We start from the raw sequence: 21,657 nt of genomic DNA, 5'->3' as shown, positions 1-21,657 counted from the left end.
CCAGTGCTTGGCACATAGTAGAATTTAAGTATATGCTAAATGAATTTTAAAAATGCCTGAATTGATGGATTCTCAGAACAACTCCATGAGGTGTATGCTATTATCATTCCCATTTAGCATAGGAAATTGTGATGGAATGGTCAACTATTTGACCCAAGGTCATACTACCAGTGTGTGACACATCCTCACTTGAATATATGTTTATTTCTATTCTGTTTTGTCAGATGAACATTTAGTGTTTATATTAATGCATGCCAGGCATTGAGCTAGAAAATAATATGGTGCCCCAGACCTACGTGAACTCACAGCTTAGTGCAATCTTTTTAAACCAGTACCTCCTTTTAAGTGACACAAGAATCCCAAGCCTTTCTAACATGGAACTTGGCCTACTATCTGTACATCCCACCACCTAGGAAAATTTTACCAATCATGACTTTTTTATTTGTGTTATCAAAACATTACGTGTTTTTTTCCTGATATTCTAAATTTAAGATTACACTACTGTATATGATTTTTCAAATGCCATGTGCACCACAAAATTCTGCAGTCTCTTTCCTGCCATTGAAACCGGCTGGCTGGTCTACTCCAATGCTATGCCTAAGCCTTTAGTAGGAATTTTACCACCTGAAACACACACACACGCCCACGCCCACACACATACACCTCATGAAGTGGCTATAGGAGCAATCTAATTGGACAGATTATTGCATATTGTCCAATAAAAATAGACATGACTCCAAGTTACCTGAATTAGGAAATATTTCCCAGTCACCCAAAAGCACAAAAAGATAGGGAATCCAAAAAGTTGCTTTGTCATGCATTATAAGTTACGGATTAGCCTTTTGATTTAAGTCTTGCTTAGGCTATTATTTACATTAATCAGAGTTTCCTAAGCATACACCATGTGACAGAAAAGCACTTAAGCCCAGAACCTACCAATTTAGGGTTAAGTAGGGTAGGGGGAAGCTTTGACAATGATGCACATATGGATATTATTTTCCATGTACGAATAATAATAAACTGTATAGCACTATTACATATAGGTTCTAGTTTTATAAAACTATTTCAGACATTTTTTCACACACACCATGGATGATTCTTCCTTCCGTCGTCCCCTATACATTTTCCACTGTTGATATACCAAATCACATTAAATTGAGATGATCTATTTACATATCTGTGTTCTTAATAGATAGTAAACTTCTTGTAGGCAGAGGCTGTCCGCCATCTTTGGATGACAGGTGCCTCATCTTTGTAGGCAGAGGCTGTCTGCCATCTTTGCATCCTTACTACCAGCCAGGCATATAGTAGGTGTGCAGCAAAGAGCAAATTTCATATATAGAACTGTTGGCAAACTGGAGTAGACTGGATGTTTGTCAAAAACCTCGGCAAAATTTGGATATTCCATACACTTCTAAAAAGTAAGACATAAACCACATCTAGAACTCATGTGTATTATTAACATTTAAGGAACTGCCAGAATGTCTAGATAAAGAGTAATAATTTTTTTAAAAATTGGACCAGAGTGGAAGAACATCAACTGTCATCCATTTGCAGAAGAATCACCATTATCCATCAGCGATCTCAATAGTTTTTATTAGTGTCTGACTTTATTGATCCCTTATTACAAGAGAGTAAGTGAGATTGAAGCTGACAGATCAGGTAATCTTCTGGCTCTGGTTTTGGCAACTTTGCTAAGTGTCTTTTTACACTGTGGACTGTGGGAGGCTCTTAGTGAAATTGCAAGCTATTGGATTAATGGCAGAGCATCATGAACACATTAAGAATGTCTTTTTAGAGATATAAAATGTGAAAATGACTATAGAGAGTGTCAAAAAAAAAGATATCACAGTGCCTCTTAGGAAAGATAGCTGTGTTTTACATAAATAATGCGACTCCAGCTTATCCTTCACTGGAAGTTCTTTAGAGATCCCCCAAATTTACATATTCCAGAAATGTGTGCATGCTACAGAATTAACACTGATAGTGGATGTCAGGAGAATGAATAATAACTGAAAGAGCTTTACATTAGAGGTAACTTAAAGAAGATAATTATATAAAAATACTTTTGTCCCCAAACTGGCTTTTCTGGTTGTTCACTGCCTCCTGAACAATGCTGCCTTCTATAAATTATTTCACCATAGACCAACTGATGTCTGAAATGTGAGTTCTCATGTTTCTGCACATAGGGGTGAGGGATAGATTGGTGCTACAAAATCTTACTCCTAAGACTCGGTAGGAAATTAAGTTAGCTGTTACTAGAGAATATGGGTAACAGGTTAATATGGACCATGAATTTAGTCATTGAAATTACCGTAACCAAAATTTGCTGGGAAGATTGAAAATGATTTAAAAAAAGAAACCCTCCTAGTGATTCATTAAAATCATGTTTTTCTTCATTTTTGTATGTTAAAGGGCTGACAGTTTTCCGGGCATTTATTAAAAGCAGGATAAAGATAAGTCACGATAGGTCATCTTTTTGTGGTATCCTTGAGAAATTTAGAAGCATGAAATGTATAAATTTAAAATTTTTATGATCGGTTTGAAATTCAAAACTTAAGCTTTACTATTGATGAAGCCAGTAATAAGATTGCAGAATGTTTTTCTCTTGATAGAGGATCTCTGTGAATAGTTTGTTTCTTCTCAAATACGGTCAGTTAACCTTTGATCAGTGTTAATGCGCGTCCACTTTAAATCCAAATAATAGAGTGGAAAGTGCAAGTTCTGTTTCTCAAATTTTAATATACATGTGAATCCCCTGGGATCTTGGTAAAATTCAGCTGCTAAGTGCACTGGTCTGGGGTAGGGCCCAAGATTCTGCATTTCTAACAAGCTTCCAAGTGATGCCCATATTGCTGGTCCCTGGTCTATACTTTGAGTAGAAAAGATGTAGAGTCCAGTCAAAAAATCGCGAAGTCTCGTATATTTATGAGTCACAATTATAAAGTCATCTTCATGTATTTGGATTTATTGGGACCAGTGAGTTTGACAGCCTAGTAATAGATGGCATTGATGGAGATTCAATGAATGCTAGAGCAAAGTCTGTGGGTTTGATAGCTTTATACTGGTCTCAGTGGGCTGTTGCTTTCTACTTAAATAAGCATTTGATGATCTACTTAATGAATATTAAGAAGTCGAAGCTTTAGGCTAAAGTGTGAAACCAAAATGTATTGGTACTCAGTTGATTAAAAAAATACAGTTGCCACAATTGAGATCATTTCTGTGTTCCATCTTGTGCTGCTGTGTATTACAAATATTCTCCCCCCTTCTTCATGCAGAGTATGATTTCTTCCATTGTGAACAGTACTTACTATGCAAATGTCTCAGCAGCAAAATGTCAAGAATTTGGAAGGTGGTACAAACATTTCAAGAAGACAAAAGATATGATGGGTAAGCAAAAAAAACATTGCAGCAGTGGCTACATACCATTACGTGTCATTTGGGGGTTTATCAAAGTCACATCTAAAGCCAGGTCTTTTGATTGCCCAATTAGAGATCAATTTAGAATGTTTCTTTGGGGGTGGGAAGTGGGTATGAGTATAATGAGATAATTAAATTCAATAAATGTTTGTGTTTAAATCAGCCAAACTGACTTGGTTGTCAGACATGCAGGAAATTGAGGCGTTGGGAGGGGAGCTGTCATTTTTTAACAACTCAGTGAAGACCTAACCAGGCCTTGAATAACTAATATTAGCTGTGATTTCTTTCTCTGATAAGTCTTGCTTTTAGGTTTTTTGTTTTTGTCTGGTTGAATGAGAAAGTGCCTATTTTTACACCCAATTTTAAAGGAAATTAAACTTCTTAAATTAAACTATTTATAGTTTCCACAGTAGAGATCAAGTGATTTTTATAGCTCTAACCCCCAGCCGCCATGGATGGGCACTTTGATAAGCACATTGCTTTACCATCCATACCAGAACAATTATTGCATCATTTCTGAACTTTTAATTCCAAGGTAGCATTCTATCTTAACACATAACTTTAGGTGAATATTTGTTATGCAAGAAGTACACTAAAATTATCTGCAGTGTAAAATGATAGATAAAAGTTGTGTATGGTACCTAAGCATTTAGATGATGGCATTTTCTCTCTGTTGAGTTTGTTAATGTTCACAAAAGCAAACACTGTGATTAAGGTTAATGTTTTAATTTTTATTACTGTTCTCTTTCACCTACTTTTACCCTCCAAAACATATATTTTAAAATAATATAGGAATGGGCATTATGTCCTGTTTTAAATCTATTTCTATTTATTTCTTTACATTCATTTAATTTTTTTTTAATTTTTTAAGAAAAATTAATCCAAATTTTGAGCAAGTTTTAGCTCTTAATATTTGAAGAAAAACCATCCATCTACCAAAATGGATTCTTTGCCTTTTATAGCTTAAGGCTGTAATGAAGACAATGCATCATTTTTGGAATAATTGCTTGAATTACTGTTCTCTGTGAATGGCCCACTTGGGCTGATATCACTGGTAGAAATTGAAGATTTCTTCCCCAATTCTTAGTTATATTTTGCGTATATCAGGAGCTATAGCGCTATGATAAAGTTCCTCTAAATGTAAAACCTGCATATTTAATGAAAAGAGAATTGATGATTAAAATCAAACTAGAGTCTACATGTGGGAAGTCTGTGTACAATTTGGAAAGTCCTGTTTATGTACAGCTTCATGCTCAGCCCTTCCAGCCAAGAGCATCGAACCAGTCTCCTCTTCGTACAGAAAAGCATTTACATACTTAGAGATGATGCTCAGCCAATCCATATGAGGAACCTAGCCAAGGAAGAAGCATTCATCCTGGGTAGGTGGGAATAAATTGCAAAATCATGACAGCCTCACCATTGTACCAGAACGATTCCCTGCAAGATTGTCTTTAGCATCTGGTGATGGCCATAGCTTCCTGAAGAAAAAACATTTGGATCTTAGCAACACTGGGTATGCTGGCTTGATATACAATAAATCACTTGCTTTATTCTAAAAAGTATTTCCAGATATACCTACTGCCCATGATGGTTAGAATTAAAATGAAGCAAGGCATATAAGATATTCAGCAAGTGTTCAATATACACTTATTATTATGCCCATTTTTATTTATTACATTAACTACTTCTATTCACTGCTGGGTAAAAATTGAAAGTAGGTGACTTTTTATGTCATATTTTTTCTTTTACACCTTTTTCCTAGAGTACTAAAGTTAATGAATATCATGAGAATATATTTGTAAATTTTTTTAGTTGCTTATTATAAGCTTATTTTCTCAGCTCAGCTCACTGTTTGTAGTTGTCATTAAGCAAATGACATTCTTTTAGAAGCCATTTTTAAAAATTGTTGCTTAGAAGCCTTCTTGGGGTAATAAGTGAGAGTGAACAACTAGTTGGAAAGAGTTTGGGTAATAATTGATTTTATGCCTTAAATCTAAACCACTTTTTAAAAATAAGATTAGGAATGCTGTCCCATTTCCAAAGTTTGTAGAATTGTTCAGGAAAGGAGAGCAAAAACACAGCCTGGTAAGTTGCAACTTGAAATTTTCTTGGTTTTATTGGATTTGGGGTGTGCCCTGTGCCTACCCTTTTTTAATTTAGGAAATGGTTAGAAATCTTTATCAATGCCAATCATTGTTGGCTGAATGTGATTTTACTCTTTGTCCACTTTAGTTGAAATGGATAGTCTTTCTGAGCTATCCCAGCAAGGCGCCAATCATGTCAATTTTGGCCAGCAACCAGTTCCAGGGAACACAGCCGAGCAGCCTCCATCCCCTGCGCAGCTCTCCCATGGCAGCCAGCCCTCTGTCCGGACACCTCTTCCAAACCTGCACCCTGGGCTCGTATCAACACCTATCAGTCCTCAATTGGTCAACCAGCAGCTGGTGATGGCTCAGCTGCTGAACCAGCAGTATGCAGTGAATAGACTTTTAGCCCAGCAGTCCTTAAACCAACAATACTTGAACCACCCTCCCCCTGTCAGTAGATCTATGAATAAGCCTTTGGAGCAACAGGTTTCGACCAACACAGAGGTGTCTTCCGAAATCTACCAGTGGGTACGCGATGAACTGAAACGAGCAGGAATCTCCCAGGCGGTATTTGCACGTGTGGCTTTTAACAGAACTCAGGTCAGTTGTGTTTCATAAGTGGTTCTGTGCTGTCTCCTATTTTCTCTTTCTTTAGTCCCATCTATAACTAAAGTTTATTCTTTTACTTCTGTACTAACATTTTCTCTCTCTCTTCATGTGATCATATTACCTATTCCTGGTGGAGCCTCAATTTTACCACTCCTTTTCCTATGATATACTTCTGAATCAAGGGAACCTATGTGCAGATTGATCCCAATTCAGGGCCTTTGAAAGACTAATTAAATGTCAAACGTACTTTAAACTGGCATTACTTATGCTTTTATATAATGGAATCATAAGCTATAGTAGATGGTTAAGAAAAGTTTCATGACTCAGTCAAGGCTATTGGCAGGATTCCAGGCTTCTAGCCTATTGTCTTTTCCATTTATGTTGTTACTACCCATATCAAACTTAGGTATATAAATGTTCCCTCTTAAAGTTCTACTGCAGCGTTGTTGTTGTTGTTGTTGTTTGTTGTTGTTAACACCTTGGAAGCAATAATCCACTTAATTCTAAGCAGCCATTTTGAAAAAATATTATATGACTTATTAACATAAAATATTTGTAAGCTGTGTGCGCTCCCTCATGCTATTGTCTTCCAAATTCATTGTCTAGACCAGGCATCAGCAAACTTTATTCTGTTATCGACCAGATAGTAAATATTTTAGGTTTTGAAGCACTTAAATCTCGGTCACACTGTAGAGTAATAAAGCAGCCATAGACTATAAATGAATGGCACTGGGTATGGTAGTATTTCAGTAAAACTATTTATAAAACAGGCCATGGAGTAAGTGTGGCTGGCAGGCCTTAGTTTGCAGACTCATTTGTAGAGATCTCACTGCCTGCTTATACCCCTAATGTGCACACCTTTGTCTTCCTGGCCCAATTCCTGTGAAGGTACTATCTATCAGCCTGGAAGATGTTTAAGAGGGTCATGGAGAAAAAGTGATATATATGAGAGGTCATAAGATAAAGATATTTGAGAAGCCCTAAACAAATTGACTCTGTTGAACTGTGAATGAGAAGAATTTTTTTCTTTGTTTGGAAACTAGTATGATACGTGATATATATGGTGTTTATTTTTGGCCCAGGTACACTAAAACAAAACAAAAAACAACAACAAAACCAAAAAACAAACAAAAACGAAAAACCGCGTAACTTTGATTAGAAGAAGGACATTATGCCTTTTCAGCTCTTTTGTTTTACCACTGTTCTTTCTTTTGTCAATTTATCTTATTTTTTGACCTGACTCACATTTTCCTTTCATATTTAAGTTATTTTGTTTATTACATGATTATGATTATGAGAATAAAATTCTGGTACAGAAGTAATCTAGTATTAATTCCTAGTTTGCAGAGTTTCCATACCTAGGAGAATCCCAGCTGTGACTTATTTTTGGCGTGCCTTAACTAGATGGGGAGTTAGGAGACCTGACAAAGCCTCTAATTCAGTGTTTGTTTTCAGTCGATTCATCTTTTTTTTTTTTTTTGTACGTTCGTCTGTTTTTGAAAAGGCAGTTGCACAAGGCTATGTCTCAGGTTAAAATTGTATGGTTTTACCTAGTTCTATATCTTTATAGCTTAAAAAACTGTGTTCATCATTAGCTGGTGAACTTAATATGACACCTATATTCAGTTGGGGGATAATTATTGAAAATGAATGGCTCAAAAGTCAACCCTCTAAATATTCCTGTTTCTGGTAGCATTCTTTATTTTAGTAAATATAGTAAGTACTAATAATTCTCCGTACTAGGCCAAAAAAAGTAGGTCTCTACATAACATTTCAATAATGCTTTTTTGAATTGAGTTAAAAGCCCACAAAGACATCATGACATAGACACAAATTATATATATATGTATATATATGTGTATATATATGTGTGTGTGTATGTGTGTGTATATATATGTATATATGTGTATATATATAGTTACTGGTGTCTTAAAAATTGAGCAGTTATTTCTTAAAGCACTAAGTAAGTGTCCTTTATATAGTGAAGAATGCTAAGACAGTAGAACTCAGAGAAGTGAGGATAAAGTTGTCACCCATCATTACAGCTTTTCTCCTTTTGGGTTTATGATGTTACAGCCATTACTATGAGGAGTTGGCCATTTGTTCTGCCTTTGGTCCTTAAAAGGACAAATTCCACAATATCTACAGGATTTGTTACTGGAAGAAAGGCAAAATTTTCTCTTTTATACCATATTAATCTCTTTGAAAAAGGTAATCATCTCTGTGGTTAATATCAAAAACAGTGACTTTTTTTTCTGTGAGAGGAGAATGAAAACTTTACCTTGTATAGCTTGATTGCAGATACCTCCTTATTAATAATAGCCAATTTAGGAAAAAAAGTCATTACCAAAAAAATATTTAGTGCCCTGGATTATGAAGGGTGTTTTAAAGCTTTATATTGATAATTGATACTCTTCAGTCAAAGTAGATATAGGGCCATATTTGAAGATGTTTGACTTAAGAGGAAATTTGTATATATATTTCAATATTAATTCCTTGAGAACTAACTTTTGCACATGCAGGCATGAATTTATTTTCATTGGTCATTCTTAAAAACCACACACACATACATACACAGCTGCATTTATTTTTTAATGATTATGCATTGGTATGACTGGATGTAGTGTGTTGATTTCAAAGTGTATGCATTTCAATAAAAGCAGGTGCAGAGGGTATGGTGTGAGTGTGGAGTATGAAAATACACATGCTAATGCGTATGTATAGACAAGGAGCTCTGCAGAGTTAAATCACACATCACACATTTGTGTGCACCTAGTACAATGTGCAGTTCCAACTCCAACTTTTAAAACATTAAAAAACCAAACACCGCATATTCTCACTCATAGGTGGGAATTGAACAATGAGATCACATGGACACAGGAAGGGGAATATCACACTCTGGGGACTGTTGTGGGGTGGGGGGAGGGGGGAGGGATAGCATTGGGAGATATACCTAATGCTAGATGACGACTTAGTGGGTGCAGCGCACCAGCACGGCACATGTATACATATGTAACTAACCTGCACAATGTGCACATGTACCCTAAAACTTAAAGTATAATAAAAAAAAAATTAATGTAAAATATGTACATACAAATACAAAGTTACATGATAGGGTCAGATGAAGATACTGTTTCTTATAAACGGCATTAAGACCTTAATATGATAGAAAACACTTGTATGAATTGAGGGTTATTTTAGTCATTGAAGCTCTGTATAACTTTAAAACCCTGGGTCTTAGGTTTTAACTATTGAGAATTTTCTTATCATCTTAATAGGGTTCCCTATATTAACACATTACCCTCCCAAGACTTTCGCACATGGGTTTTTTTTTAAGCCTACCTTTTCTGAAAATTTATGGTAAACTTATATAGTTACTTGTTTTAAGGAATTTTTCCCCTTCTGAATTGATGGGCATGGGTTCTTTAATTGCCGTTGAAGATATCAGCTTTTAGCATATGTCATTCATTCAGTTATGCCTACTTGATGTCTTTTTAATGGAAACCTATGGCTAAAAGTAATTGCCAAAGCTTCTAGATTTCTACTTTTCAATTCACTTCTCTATCTTATTGCTATTTAATGGTTCTGATACATGCAAATACATTCCTTAATACCCTTTGATTTTTAAAAGAATAAAATTCAGAGTTTAACTCTGATCCCACTCTGTGGCTTTTTTCCCCTTTTTCTTCCCCCTCCTCTTGTCTTTTGGCACACTTTATTTTCCAGTAAAATAAAGAATGAAGATGGATTATTCAAAACTGATAACAGTAATGGACCATCATGTAATGTTTTATTAAATTTGAGTTCTGTAAATTATGTGGTGGAGAGAAATTTGCCTGCTTAAGTATAACAGAAATTGCTACTGTGTTTCTATAATTCTTCACAGTGTAATTTAAGAAAAGTCCACTATCCATATCACTATTGAATAAAAGGTAAAAAGGTGCTATTACCCCAACAAGACAGCTCTCTGGTTAGCCTGCCAAACGACAGAGATAAATGTGTCTACTTAAAACTTACTTGGCATGAATCCATGGTAGTAGGTGGAGTTTGAAAATAGTCTTTTACCTGGACATAGGATTAAAAATTCACCAAACAACAGAGGCAGGTAGCCTTGAAGAATATTCTATGTATTTTCTTTTTAGGAGGGAGGTTTCATCAAATCATATTTTCTTCCTGAGGGCTTTGAAGTTCCATGAAGCTGATAAAATCTATTTGAATCAGTGATTATGTTCAAAGAGGAGACAAACGGGAGGCCAGACAGCCTTTTTGTTCAGATTGGCAGTCTCTTTCGCTTATCTGCTGTTTTAAAGAATTCATAATTAGCTTTTGGAAATACTGATAATATTTATTGGAGGTTTTTTCTTTCTTTTACAACTACTAATGAATTTTACTTGTAATAACTTGTAAACTGTTTTTGGAATGTAAAAACAGGTTTAGGAATTCAGCAGTAAATTCATTCTTTAGTTGAAAAAATTAGAACTCTGACTTAACCGCTATGTAATGACAATGCAAAACAATTTTGTGTTTTCATAGATACAGCACACATCTAATTATTGGTAAGATGTGAAGTCCCAATGAAAGGCAGCTTCTGATTTTCAATAAAATGAATATTTATGAGGTACTGGTAACTTCCTACATAACATACAAGTTCTCAGGTTCTTTTCAGACACAAGAATGACTAATGATTTTGTTTAATTTAATTCAACAAATTTATTGAGCGCCAATGATTCTTGATACTGATGACATATTTTAGTCCTGATGTTTCAGCATATTCTATGACATAAATAAGGTACATGATGGCCTTTTCATACTATTTTTTAGCATGAAGAATTTTTGGTAAAAGGTCACGCTTACTGTCCACTGTGTGGGCAGTACTACAAATGACCTTGGCAAGTCTGTACTATGTCTTCAATTATAGGATATGGGAACTGGTGGCCACATATATCTTGAATTCAGCATATAAATATGAGTGCAGCTATTCAAGTAACAACAACCTGAACAGGACCAAAACATACATTCCCATATCTGGGATCTGATAGCAGTCATTTTGCATCCAAAATTATTCTAAAGTGACTTTTTTTTTTAAGTAATTATCACTAATCAAAATGTTTTCTGACAATATTTTCAAGCATTTCCACCAGGGGGCACTCCCCTCATTGAAAGCTCTGGGCCAAAAAAAAAAAAAAAAAAACCCAAAGGTTTCTGAAACACCTGAGACTGTCTACACTGGCTGCTTTAAAGCTCTTTGAGTGTTTCAGGGTTTGAAACATCACTTTATACCATCAACATATTTCAGACGAACAAAAAACCTTGTTCCAGTAGAATAATTAAGTGGTAGTAAAATGCTTTGCCCCTAAAAACACTTGTATGCTTAAATAGGAAGTCACACCAACATCAAAATATAGGTAGAGAACTTTTAAAATTTTCTCCCAAGTGACATAACTACCTTCCAATCTCAACCATATGGAAATGACTTAGTCTTATATGTTAGCAAGACTTGAGAAAGAATATTATTTTGTATGTTTTCCTGTATTTGACTTTCTCACTATAGATCTCTGCTGCCTCAGGAAATATTTTTGATAGAAATATGTGATATAGTACTTTGTTATTTGGGATTTTTAAATACCTAATTTCAAGTTTCCCAAATAACATCCTAAATATTTATAACTATGTTTTGCCCTAATCTAATTTTTTTAATTATTAGACAATTAGGAAAAACATCTCAAAAAATGCCACAGAACTTTTCACTGTAGGCCCAACATGAGTGCTAATAACTACTACTAGAATTGACTCATGGGTAACACATCTTGTTCTTAAGTTTCTATCACCTGTTTGTGATTGTTTTCTCCATTGTGGTCTTTATACACATGATCAGTCCATTTAGTAAATACTTATCAAACATTTACATGAGAGACATTGTGCTGGGATGATGAAAGTGAATATTAGATTATTATGCTCAAGGAATTTGTAGCATATTGTGTTTATACTGATGTTTTCATGTATCCATATCTGTGTAGTTGAGAATATATTGCTTTGTCAAGTACATTTTTTAAGACATAACATTTGGTGGAGAGGAGTAAAGAGCAAGGGTTATTTCATTACACCTATTTTCAAACTTTTTTTTTTTGAGACCTGAATGTTTTACTTTCAATATGGCACATCAGAAACACAGTCAAACTAATTAGGTGGCCTTGTGCAAATTAAATAGCTGGATGATTGACTGCCTGTTTGACTGAATTTTAGTTAAATTGACTAGATGTTTTGCTCTTGTGTAGACACAGTTACAGCATTACTCGTTAGTATCCTAAGGACACATGCCCTTCATTCTTCAGTCACATTTCTTAGGGTAAAAACGAAAGTTCAGGTCCAATTTCCAGGCTTTAGCTGTAAGAGACTAAGTGAGAGACAACTTTAAAATGGACTCTGAAGCCCTCTGCACCTGTTAAAAGTTCTTTTTAAATACCAGCTTATAAATCATTTTAAGAAGTATCAGTACTTTTGTATTGTCTGCACCCAACTGTTGCATTTCGGCAACATGGTACATTATCTTTAAATTTGGGAACAAAACCAGGTTTGTACTTCTAACAAACCATGAAAAAAACAAATGTTTTAACCTTGGGGCTTCATTGTTTTGACATGACACGTTACCTTCCTTCCCCCAATATACCTTTAACTGTTTCTGCAGGATATTGGAAAGTAGATTTGCAAATTATATAGAAATCCTGACAAAATTTTATTCTGAAGCTGATACTCTGGCTAAGTGAAGAAACCAAATATGTCTTACTATTCCAAGCATTATTTCATGTACAAGATTAAAGAGAGAAGAGCTGCTTAGCCCTTATAAAATGAACAGAAAATTTTCCAATTCTTTTATTTCATATTGTCTCTTAAATGCAATGGGGAGAACCACCCATTTTTGAAAGAGTTCTTCCAAAAGTTAAAAAAATTAGTTGAAAATTGATGTTCTGTTATTTAGGGGGGAAAGACACCTTAAGAGTTTTCTAATGATTTATAAATTTCTTCTATCACTAACAATTTTTATTCCCCAAGAAATTTGATAATTACAGAATTTGATACTCTTTTCCTTGGCATGCTGTGATGGACTTTCGCAATGTTGAAAATTAGTTAATATATTTCAAATCTTGTCTATGGTTTTTAAAGTTCAAAATTTAAACCTGTTACCCAGTGGTATAATACAGCAAGATAGTATTTAGAATCATTTGTGATAATCAGTGAGGTTCTCTGAAAATGGTAAATTGAAAGGGTCACGTAGTGTCATGTACTTTGATAAGTCAGAGTTTAAGGAATAATTTTAAACATTGCCTGTGAAAATACAGCATAAACCTTAGGTGATGCTTTAGTAATAACCTTTGTTCTAATATGTTAAAATTCATTTTCTGGTATTTTCTTTGAAAGTTCTACTTCTCTAGAAATGGCTTTGTATCTTTACATATTGGGCTGTAGGCATTACACTGCCTTTGTCTAGGCAGCTTGGGAACTATACAGTTCAGTGCTGTTGCATTATAAGGATTTCGTTTATTCTTAACTTCCCTGGATCGTCTCTCTGTGAAAGATTTCATGGCAAGTTAAGCTACTCAAAGGAAGGAGACCAATTAGGCAGTTTCAGTTTATGTTATATGTAAAGCAGATGCTTAATAAAATTAAGAATACAATTGAGGCTCTCTTCTCTACCACTTCAGTTGTAACTAATATATTCCTATGCAGAATTAATGCCTCTGACTGTTCATTTTCTAAACAGAGTGGAGAAGAAAAGGGAAGGATCACTGCTGGCCAGGCAAAGCAAGGCAGCAGGCTCACCCTGTGCCTTTCATTTCTTGCAGGGCTTGCTTTCAGAAATCCTCCGAAAGGAAGAGGACCCCAAGACTGCATCCCAGTCTTTGCTGGTAAACCTTCGGGCTATGCAGAATTTCTTGCAGTTACCGGAAGCTGAAAGAGACCGAATATACCAGGACGAAAGGGAAAGGAGCTTGAATGCTGCCTCGGCCATGGGTCCTGCCCCCCTCATCAGCACACCACCCAGCCGTCCTCCCCAGGTGCGGTCTCCTTTTCCTCCTTGCCCTTCTTTGTTTAGCTTTTTTTTAATGCTTGAGGAAGAATCTCAATAAGAAATTAGATAGATAGATACATAGATTTATATGTTTTTAAATTCGTATAGTTGCTTGAGGAGAATTTGGTCCCAAATCATTAATTCTGATATAAAAACAATAAGCTCCTAATTAGATAGAGGGAAGAAAATTGCTTTGTGTTCCTTCATTCTTTGGGTTATTTGGGGGTGAAAGTAGTCTTTAAATGGGATATTTGTCTCTACTGTTGTTATTAAGTAAAGTATTTTAAACTCAATAGAAAAAGAATAAAGTCAGTTTTTTCCCAACTGGTTTCAGAATCGCCATTTGAATAGTAAATAAATAAAAATAAATAATTTCATTTGTATTTATACTTTCCAGTACGAACTGCAGCTGGTACCAATTACACACCATCTCATTTGTAATCTTTCATAATTAAGTTTAATAAAATCCTTGAAGGCAGCTTTAAATGGGGCTGATAAGGAATTCTATCCATACTCCAAGATACGGGCATGTTTTCTCTTTCTTAAAATTTTTGGACTTTTTAGGAAAGAAAGTTGCCTTCCGGGTAACTTTGGGTATGTGAATCTGTATTGTTTTTTAAACTAAGTTTTAAAAGTAACCTCATAACTGTTATAATTCAGTAAATCAATTTGCATTACAAACCCTTAGATAAAAGTTTGCTAGTTAGTGTATTAGACTCAAAAACCACAAGCAAATATATTATCTTTTTTTTTTTTTCTTTTGAGATGGAGTGCCGCTCTGTCACCCAGGCTGGAGTGCAGTGGCACGATCTTCACTCACTGCAAGCTCTGCCTCCCGGGTTCACGCCATTCTCCTGCCTCAGCCTCCCAAGTAGCTGAGACTACAGGCATCTGCCACCACGCCCAGCTAATTTTTTTGTGTTTTTAGTAGAGACGGGGTTTCACCGTGTTAGTCAGGATGGTCTCCATCTCCTGACCTCATGATCCTCCCACCTCGGCCTCCCAAAGTGCTGGGATTACAGGCCTGAGCCACCGCGCCCGGCTGCAAATGTGTTTTCTTACATGTTTAACTTGTGACATTTACAGCTCTTAAAAATAAGGTCAGTTAAAATTGGATAAAAATTGAACATGGAAGAAAAAGTCGAAATATTCATATGACAATCTCATAGTGAAATTGTATCTCGATTTTACTTCATTCTCATCAATGGTAGAAAGTGGTTATACATTTTCATGTATAGAAATCTAGAAAAAACTCATTCAACACTAAAGAGTGAAAGTACTACGGATACTGCATAAATAAGAAATATTTAGCCACTTGTTGAGTAGCTAAATAAACTGCTTATCATAAGGTTCTGAAACTATTACTTTTTAGAAATGTCACAAAATCCATTTTCACTAGTTTATTTAATGAAAATCAATCTGGTCTTGATGTCTATAGGAACAGACTATAAGGAAATCATTGCTATAATTGTGAATAAAAAAGTCATGCTTCTTTAGGAGAAAAGCATGGCATCTATATACGTATGTACACACCCACCTGCCCACGCACACAAAGTTATTGAATTTGATCTCTAAATGCTTCTATAAAATATTTCCTAAGATAAAGAATGAGGAACTCTTTATGTATAAAAAATATGACTTCTAAGTATGGTTAAAGAGAAAAGATAAACTATGACTTCTAGGAATGATAAAAAAGAAAAAATATACGAAATGAAATAAAATAATTTGGTTTGGTACTTTTTCTGTAGTGTTTAGTGTTAATACACACACTTTTATTAGTTAACTTTGCTCCTGAAGTCACCACTGACAGGGCTCTGAGCAGAGAATTACTTTACTTATCACTTAATCTGCAATACTAATAAAAGAATGGCTTACTTAAGACCAATATGAACTTCAACATTGAACTGCTTTAAAAAAAAAAAAAAACATCTAGCCAGATATTTGACTTTGTGGTTCCTTAATACAGCTTTTGTTTTCTAATTTTTCTAGGACTCTGGTTTTATTTATTTTCCAAATGTGATTTGGGTGTCCTTACTCATCAAGCTTTTTCTTGAGCTAAAGTTATACCAATTCTTATTAAGTGATATTTCTTTTCATATGCTGTTAAGATACTATAGGATAACTTTCCTGTATGTATGCTTAAAGGCTTTATCTGCTGATAAGTTGGGATAGAATATATGTTTAATTTATTTTTGCCTGAATTATTGGTTAACTGGTTGTGCCACCCTTAGCTGTATTTGTTTGTTCTGAAGAGGAGCTGAGACCAAGCCCATAGCTAGGGTATTCAGCCAATGATGAAAATATACAGTATATACATACTGTAGATTCTTAGTGAAACTCTTTCAAATAAAACATTTCTATTACTGCAGTATTACTGGCCATCTAACCAAACTCCAAAATGACTAACTGATATGTGTATGTGTGTGTAATTTTATTTTGCTGCTGCAATATAAATCTTTAAATTATTAATATTATTATAATGGAGATCACTACCAGTTTGTTCACATTCTTCCCTTTAACCATGATTAAATGAATTAAATTTTAAGAAATCTTAAGGTATTAAAGGTATTATCAATGCAAAATTAGTACTTTAGATTTGGAAAAACACGTTATAGAGCACTTGAATTAGTGCTGTCTTGTAGCAGTTGAAATAATGAAATGATGCTTAAACTGGAACCAGTATGCATATTAAAAATGAGTTAAAATAAAGGATAAAATGGAGAAAACCACAGATAACACAGACTGCAAAATTTTGTCTTTTTAAATTTTACATTTTGCCAAAGAGGAGTCCATGTGAAATCAGTATACATTTCATTTCCCCCAAAATGAGGAGATTTGAAACATATTTTGAGACAAATCTTGGGTTTGGGTTGCACCTGAAACCTGATTTCTTTCTAAAGAACCACATGTTAAAAGCAGAGGCCCTCAGTGGTTCACAGAAAACCCAGCCCCCATTAAGGCCTGGGAAACTGGATTCTCTTCCACCTCTTTATAGAGTGTAAAACATGCAGAAGATGATTTTGGAGTGCCCTTGGGACATACCATAACAAGGACCTAAACTATTGAAGGACTTGAATTCTAAGTCATCTTCAAGAAAGGACTTCCTGGCTAGTCAGACCCCACCTGGGGACACCTAGCCTCAGGAAACACCAGAGCTCCTTGGTGGCCCAGTCCAGGTGAGATGCCTCCCTGCAGAGGTATCCCATGTGCTCCAGTAGGGACAGTTATGCCCTGTGCTTCATCCTCTGCCTGGGCTATAGGCTCTGGGCCAGACCTGGTTGCTGCAAACATTTTCACAACTTACATGCTCTAATTCAACAAATAAGAATATCTTGCACCTGATAATGATTCACACCCTAACTTGATAAAAGCTATTCTGAAAGCAGCTGAATACATTAATTCATTGAATCCTCATACCAACCTTTCCCTAGAAGAAAAATGAGAAAACCAAGTTTAAGGTTGAGTCAGAGTTTTCAAATCCTCTGCTAAGTCTCTTGCTCCTTCCTCTACTTCAAGCCACCTCCTCAGAATAAAAGCAAACTTATTTTAGAAAGGGAAAAGTGAAACTTGGAGATCTTTTTGTTTGTCATAGAGGATGGGAGGTTTTCTTGTTAGAATGGGAAGAGGAGCATGTGCTAAAGCATTGTCCTAATGAAATAACTTGTTTGACAAATTATCCAGTTGGGAAAACTAGACAATGGCATTTCTGGGATTGTGGGGAGAACAGCCCCTTTTAAACTTTGGTCTCATGAAAATATCTGGGAGAACCCAGTCCTCCCAGCTTCCTTGGTCTTAAGGTTTCTTTTCACTATAAGCTTTGCAGATTTTCCTGATGAGTTTATTAGAGGAATTTTTATGAACAATAATAATTCATGATTATTATCTGAGAATTGTATATTTTACAGAATTTTAAGTGATGATTTCTACCGTAAGGGTATACTTTTTAAAATTTGATTTGTGCATTTTATGGTGTGTGACTTTTGGAGTTAAATTAATTTAGCAGTTTGTTTCCATGAAGACTGTTTGAAAGCATATAATTACTGAGTTACAGCTTTTACATGAATTACACAAAAGTCTTTTTTTCTTCATTTTTTACATCTCTTTATGTAATTCTTCATTTTTTACATCTCTTTATGTAATTACCTAAAGAATTACTAAAGGTATGCTATTTCATAACAATGCTTTAGAAAATTTATGAAGTTAATATAAACAGTATATGATTAATCTGGTAGTTGCACTATTTTGTCTCTTTACAAGAAATCCCTCTACGATATAATGAAACATAGGTTCATCTTGATTTCAGGTTCAGTTACAGGCAGGAACTTAACACTTGGTAAAAGTTTTATTTCTTATGAATCCCTTGAAGATCATTTTAAGATGTTGCTTATGTGGTTATAAAATGCATCCCATTAATTGTCGTCTTTTAAAAGCTGGAAGACTTTTAAAGGCTAGATTTGGAAAATAATACTGTTCCTGGAAGGAAAGAAATATCTAAAAATATGAAACCATGGTGCTAAAGACAGTGTTAATATATTAAAATTTGAGAGTGGGAAATATTTTCCATCACTAATAAGCATCCATAAAAGAGGACATTTCTTATTTTCATTAATAAGAAAATATAATTTTTATACCCTGAAAAATAAATTTAGATTGGATTTTAATCAAAAATCAATAGCTATTAAAAAATTAGACATTAATGAGCTAGATTTATCAAAGGGCCACCAAAAAACAAGTCCAGCCTGCTCTAAAAATTAAGAATTTTTTCAAGTAAAGAAGGTGCAGGTAATGTCATGAACTCTAAATAACTTTGGGTTTCTAGTTAAGTTTAGATCTCAGCATTGCTCCACCAACAAATTGTTTAACCTGTTTGTTTTAACGGAGTTTTCTCAATTTTAAAATGGGACAATCATAATACCTCCTCCGGGCTGTTAGGCAAGTTAAGAAGTTAATATACATTAATACAATGTCCAGCACATAATAAACAACTAATAAATGTCAGTGTTTATTATCACAATTATTAAAACTACATATAACTTTAATTTTGCTTGTGTAAAAGCAGTGTGCTTGCAGGCAATTCTTCATGCATCAGAGTAGGATGTTCACCAATCAAGGCTGAAATAGAGTTCATTTCGTGTAAAATCTAAAAGCATGATTCAATGCATACAGCAATCCATGAAGAAGCAAAATAGAGTTTTTATGGAAAATGTGTGTCCTGCGGCACAATTTTAGTGAAATAAAAAGCAGACTCTAGTGCTGCACCCTATCCCCACATGGGAGGGTAAGTAGTAGAAGCTCCAATTCTTAACTACTTCCCCGGCGCCGCCTTAATAATGGAGTAGTACACCCTACCTTGATAAAAGCTATTCTGAAAGCAACTGCATTTATTTTACCTCCTGTGCTATTTGCGGAGAAGAGCTGAACAGTAGTTTGTTTTGCCTGGAATGAACTACTTTATGAATTTTAATGTGTGATATAATATTAAAAGCTAAACCAGGATTAAAGAAGATTTTTTTGTACTAAGCTAAAATAGTACTTAGTAGAGTGAGGTATAAAAGATTTTTGTTTCCATTTTTACCTGGGGAAAAATTCAGCTTTCATATTTTTGAAAAGCTGTCCAAGTCAGTTTCCCTTAAGCAATAGCTTGTGTTTAGGAAAAAAAAAAATGTGATTCTAGAATTCTAATAGCTTATCTATGATAAGATGTGTATCTGGGCCAACAAAATGGTAAAGAAGAGCTTTCCTAAATATTTTTTAAATGAGTAGTACAGAGATACTTTCTAACTTTGTAATTGTTAAAGTTTCACCCTCACATTCTTTTTTTAAAAAAAAATATTTCTTGTATACTTTTTTCACTTTTGTTTTGATTGTGTTGGCTACTAGGAAATGATTTTTTAAAATAATTTAGAATTTGTGCTTGATTATAATTGCTTTAAAATAAAAAAAAAAATTAACCAAAGAAGTTTTTAGAAACAAAGTCACAGGGTTGAAACAAATGATTATAGCGCACCTCAAAGATAAATTCTTAAACATCATTTTTACAAAATAATGAAAATTACTTTAAAAACAGATCGAAACACCAACTTTCCAAAGTCTGTTCTTTTAACTATTGCTTAGCAGATTGCTACCAAGGATCTGTTTCTTCAGTGCACTGGACTTGGTGCCCCCATTTCCATAACATTCAGTTTTCAAAATGATTGAAATGGCTTTTCTTTTCTCTTTCATTTAAGCAGTGAGAAAAATAGGTATTAAAAGGGACCCCATGGGGTGATCAAATCTATCCCTCTGCCTCAAAGCAAGACCACCCCAGAGCAAAGTTTCCAATCTCACCAAAGCAACTTTGTAGGCAATTTATGGTAATGTGTTGTTAACTCTTCTGGCTCTTAAAGTGGTGTTTAACAGATTATTGCTTCAAAGCCCTGTATGTGTTCTAGTGGCCTCCAGTCATTAATATATCTCTATGAGTGCCCTTGCTTACTAGAGTGGCAAAGCTAGAAGGGGAACTCTGGAGAGGAGGCGGATGAGGCCCCACCTTTGGTCACCTGTCCTGCCTTACCTGCTGTGTCCCCTTCAGGCCTGCGGGCCAACTATTTCCCAGCATTATCTTTTCCATGCTTGGAAAGGTGGTATCATGGTGAAAGCATCTACCAGCTTTCTCAAGATAAGCAAGAGGTGAATTATTTTGCTAATTGGCTAGAAATTAGGATTCAGCAGGCACATTTTAAAGGGATCTCCTATTTATGCTTTAAGTACGGAGAATTGAATCACTGAATATTTTAGGAACAGAGTAAAATAAATCTTAAAGTCCTGCAGCTTGACTCAAAGGCTATATCATTTAATGCCAAAAAAATCATTTGTTTATTCTACAGCATACTTCATTTTCTATTTTCATGGTTTATGTGAGAAATTGTCCAGGATGGTAAGTTTCTAGAGGATAGAAACCTGAGTTCTGTAAAGTAACTGAAAAGATGTCTTTAAGGGATCAGTTTGCTGGAAGAAACATGGTTTTGTATCTGTAGTAATTTTTCATTTATATTTTCATCAGTTTCCCAGTAAAAAATCAGCTACATGGTTTTTATGTAAATTTTCCAGGCTAGTTCATACTACTGTGTAATAAAAAATAAATTTGGAGTTTTAAACATGAATTATAGTATCAGTACATTTTGAAGTTGAGATTTGCTTTCAGCCCCTAAAATTTTGTGGCATTTTACTGCCGATATCTGCTTATCACTATTACTAAAGGCATTGATGCTGATTTTTCTCTCAAGATTGTACTTTTTGAATATATTAGTAAAGTCACTGATTATATATTTTGTGATGCTTACAGCAATATTTTATTTAATATTGTGAAACATTATCTTATTGTGTGGTTTCACAAGTCAAAAGGAAATAGTTATATACAGGGGTGCCAGGAAAAGATGAAATAATTATACAGAACAGCTTGGACATGCACGTGTAAAATTCAACCAGCCTTTA

The 21,657-nt window shown here is 34.7% G+C and overlaps 1 protein-coding gene across 13 annotated transcripts in view; it reads left to right on the top strand.

Annotated features, from left to right (window-relative positions):
* SATB1 (SATB homeobox 1) overlaps nucleotides 1-21,657 on the top strand; it is a 100,216-nt gene that overhangs the window by 45,024 nt on the left and 33,535 nt on the right. For all 13 annotated transcript variants that reach the window (NM_001322874.2, XM_011533989.3, NM_001322872.2 and 10 more), the window contains 3 exons: nucleotides 3,279-3,390; nucleotides 5,653-6,107; nucleotides 13,958-14,170. In NM_001322874.2, the coding sequence (NP_001309803.1) occupies nucleotides 3,279-3,390; nucleotides 5,653-6,107; nucleotides 13,958-14,170 (780 nt within the window). The remainder of the gene's footprint in view (nucleotides 1-3,278; nucleotides 3,391-5,652; nucleotides 6,108-13,957; nucleotides 14,171-21,657) is intronic.

This window comes from Homo sapiens, chromosome 3 (genome assembly GCF_000001405.40).
Source record: "Homo sapiens chromosome 3, GRCh38.p14 Primary Assembly".
Lineage (NCBI taxonomy): Eukaryota > Metazoa > Chordata > Mammalia > Primates > Hominidae > Homo > Homo sapiens.
Note: the sequence above shows the minus strand (reverse complement) of the source record. Positions and strands in the feature narration are given on the sequence as shown.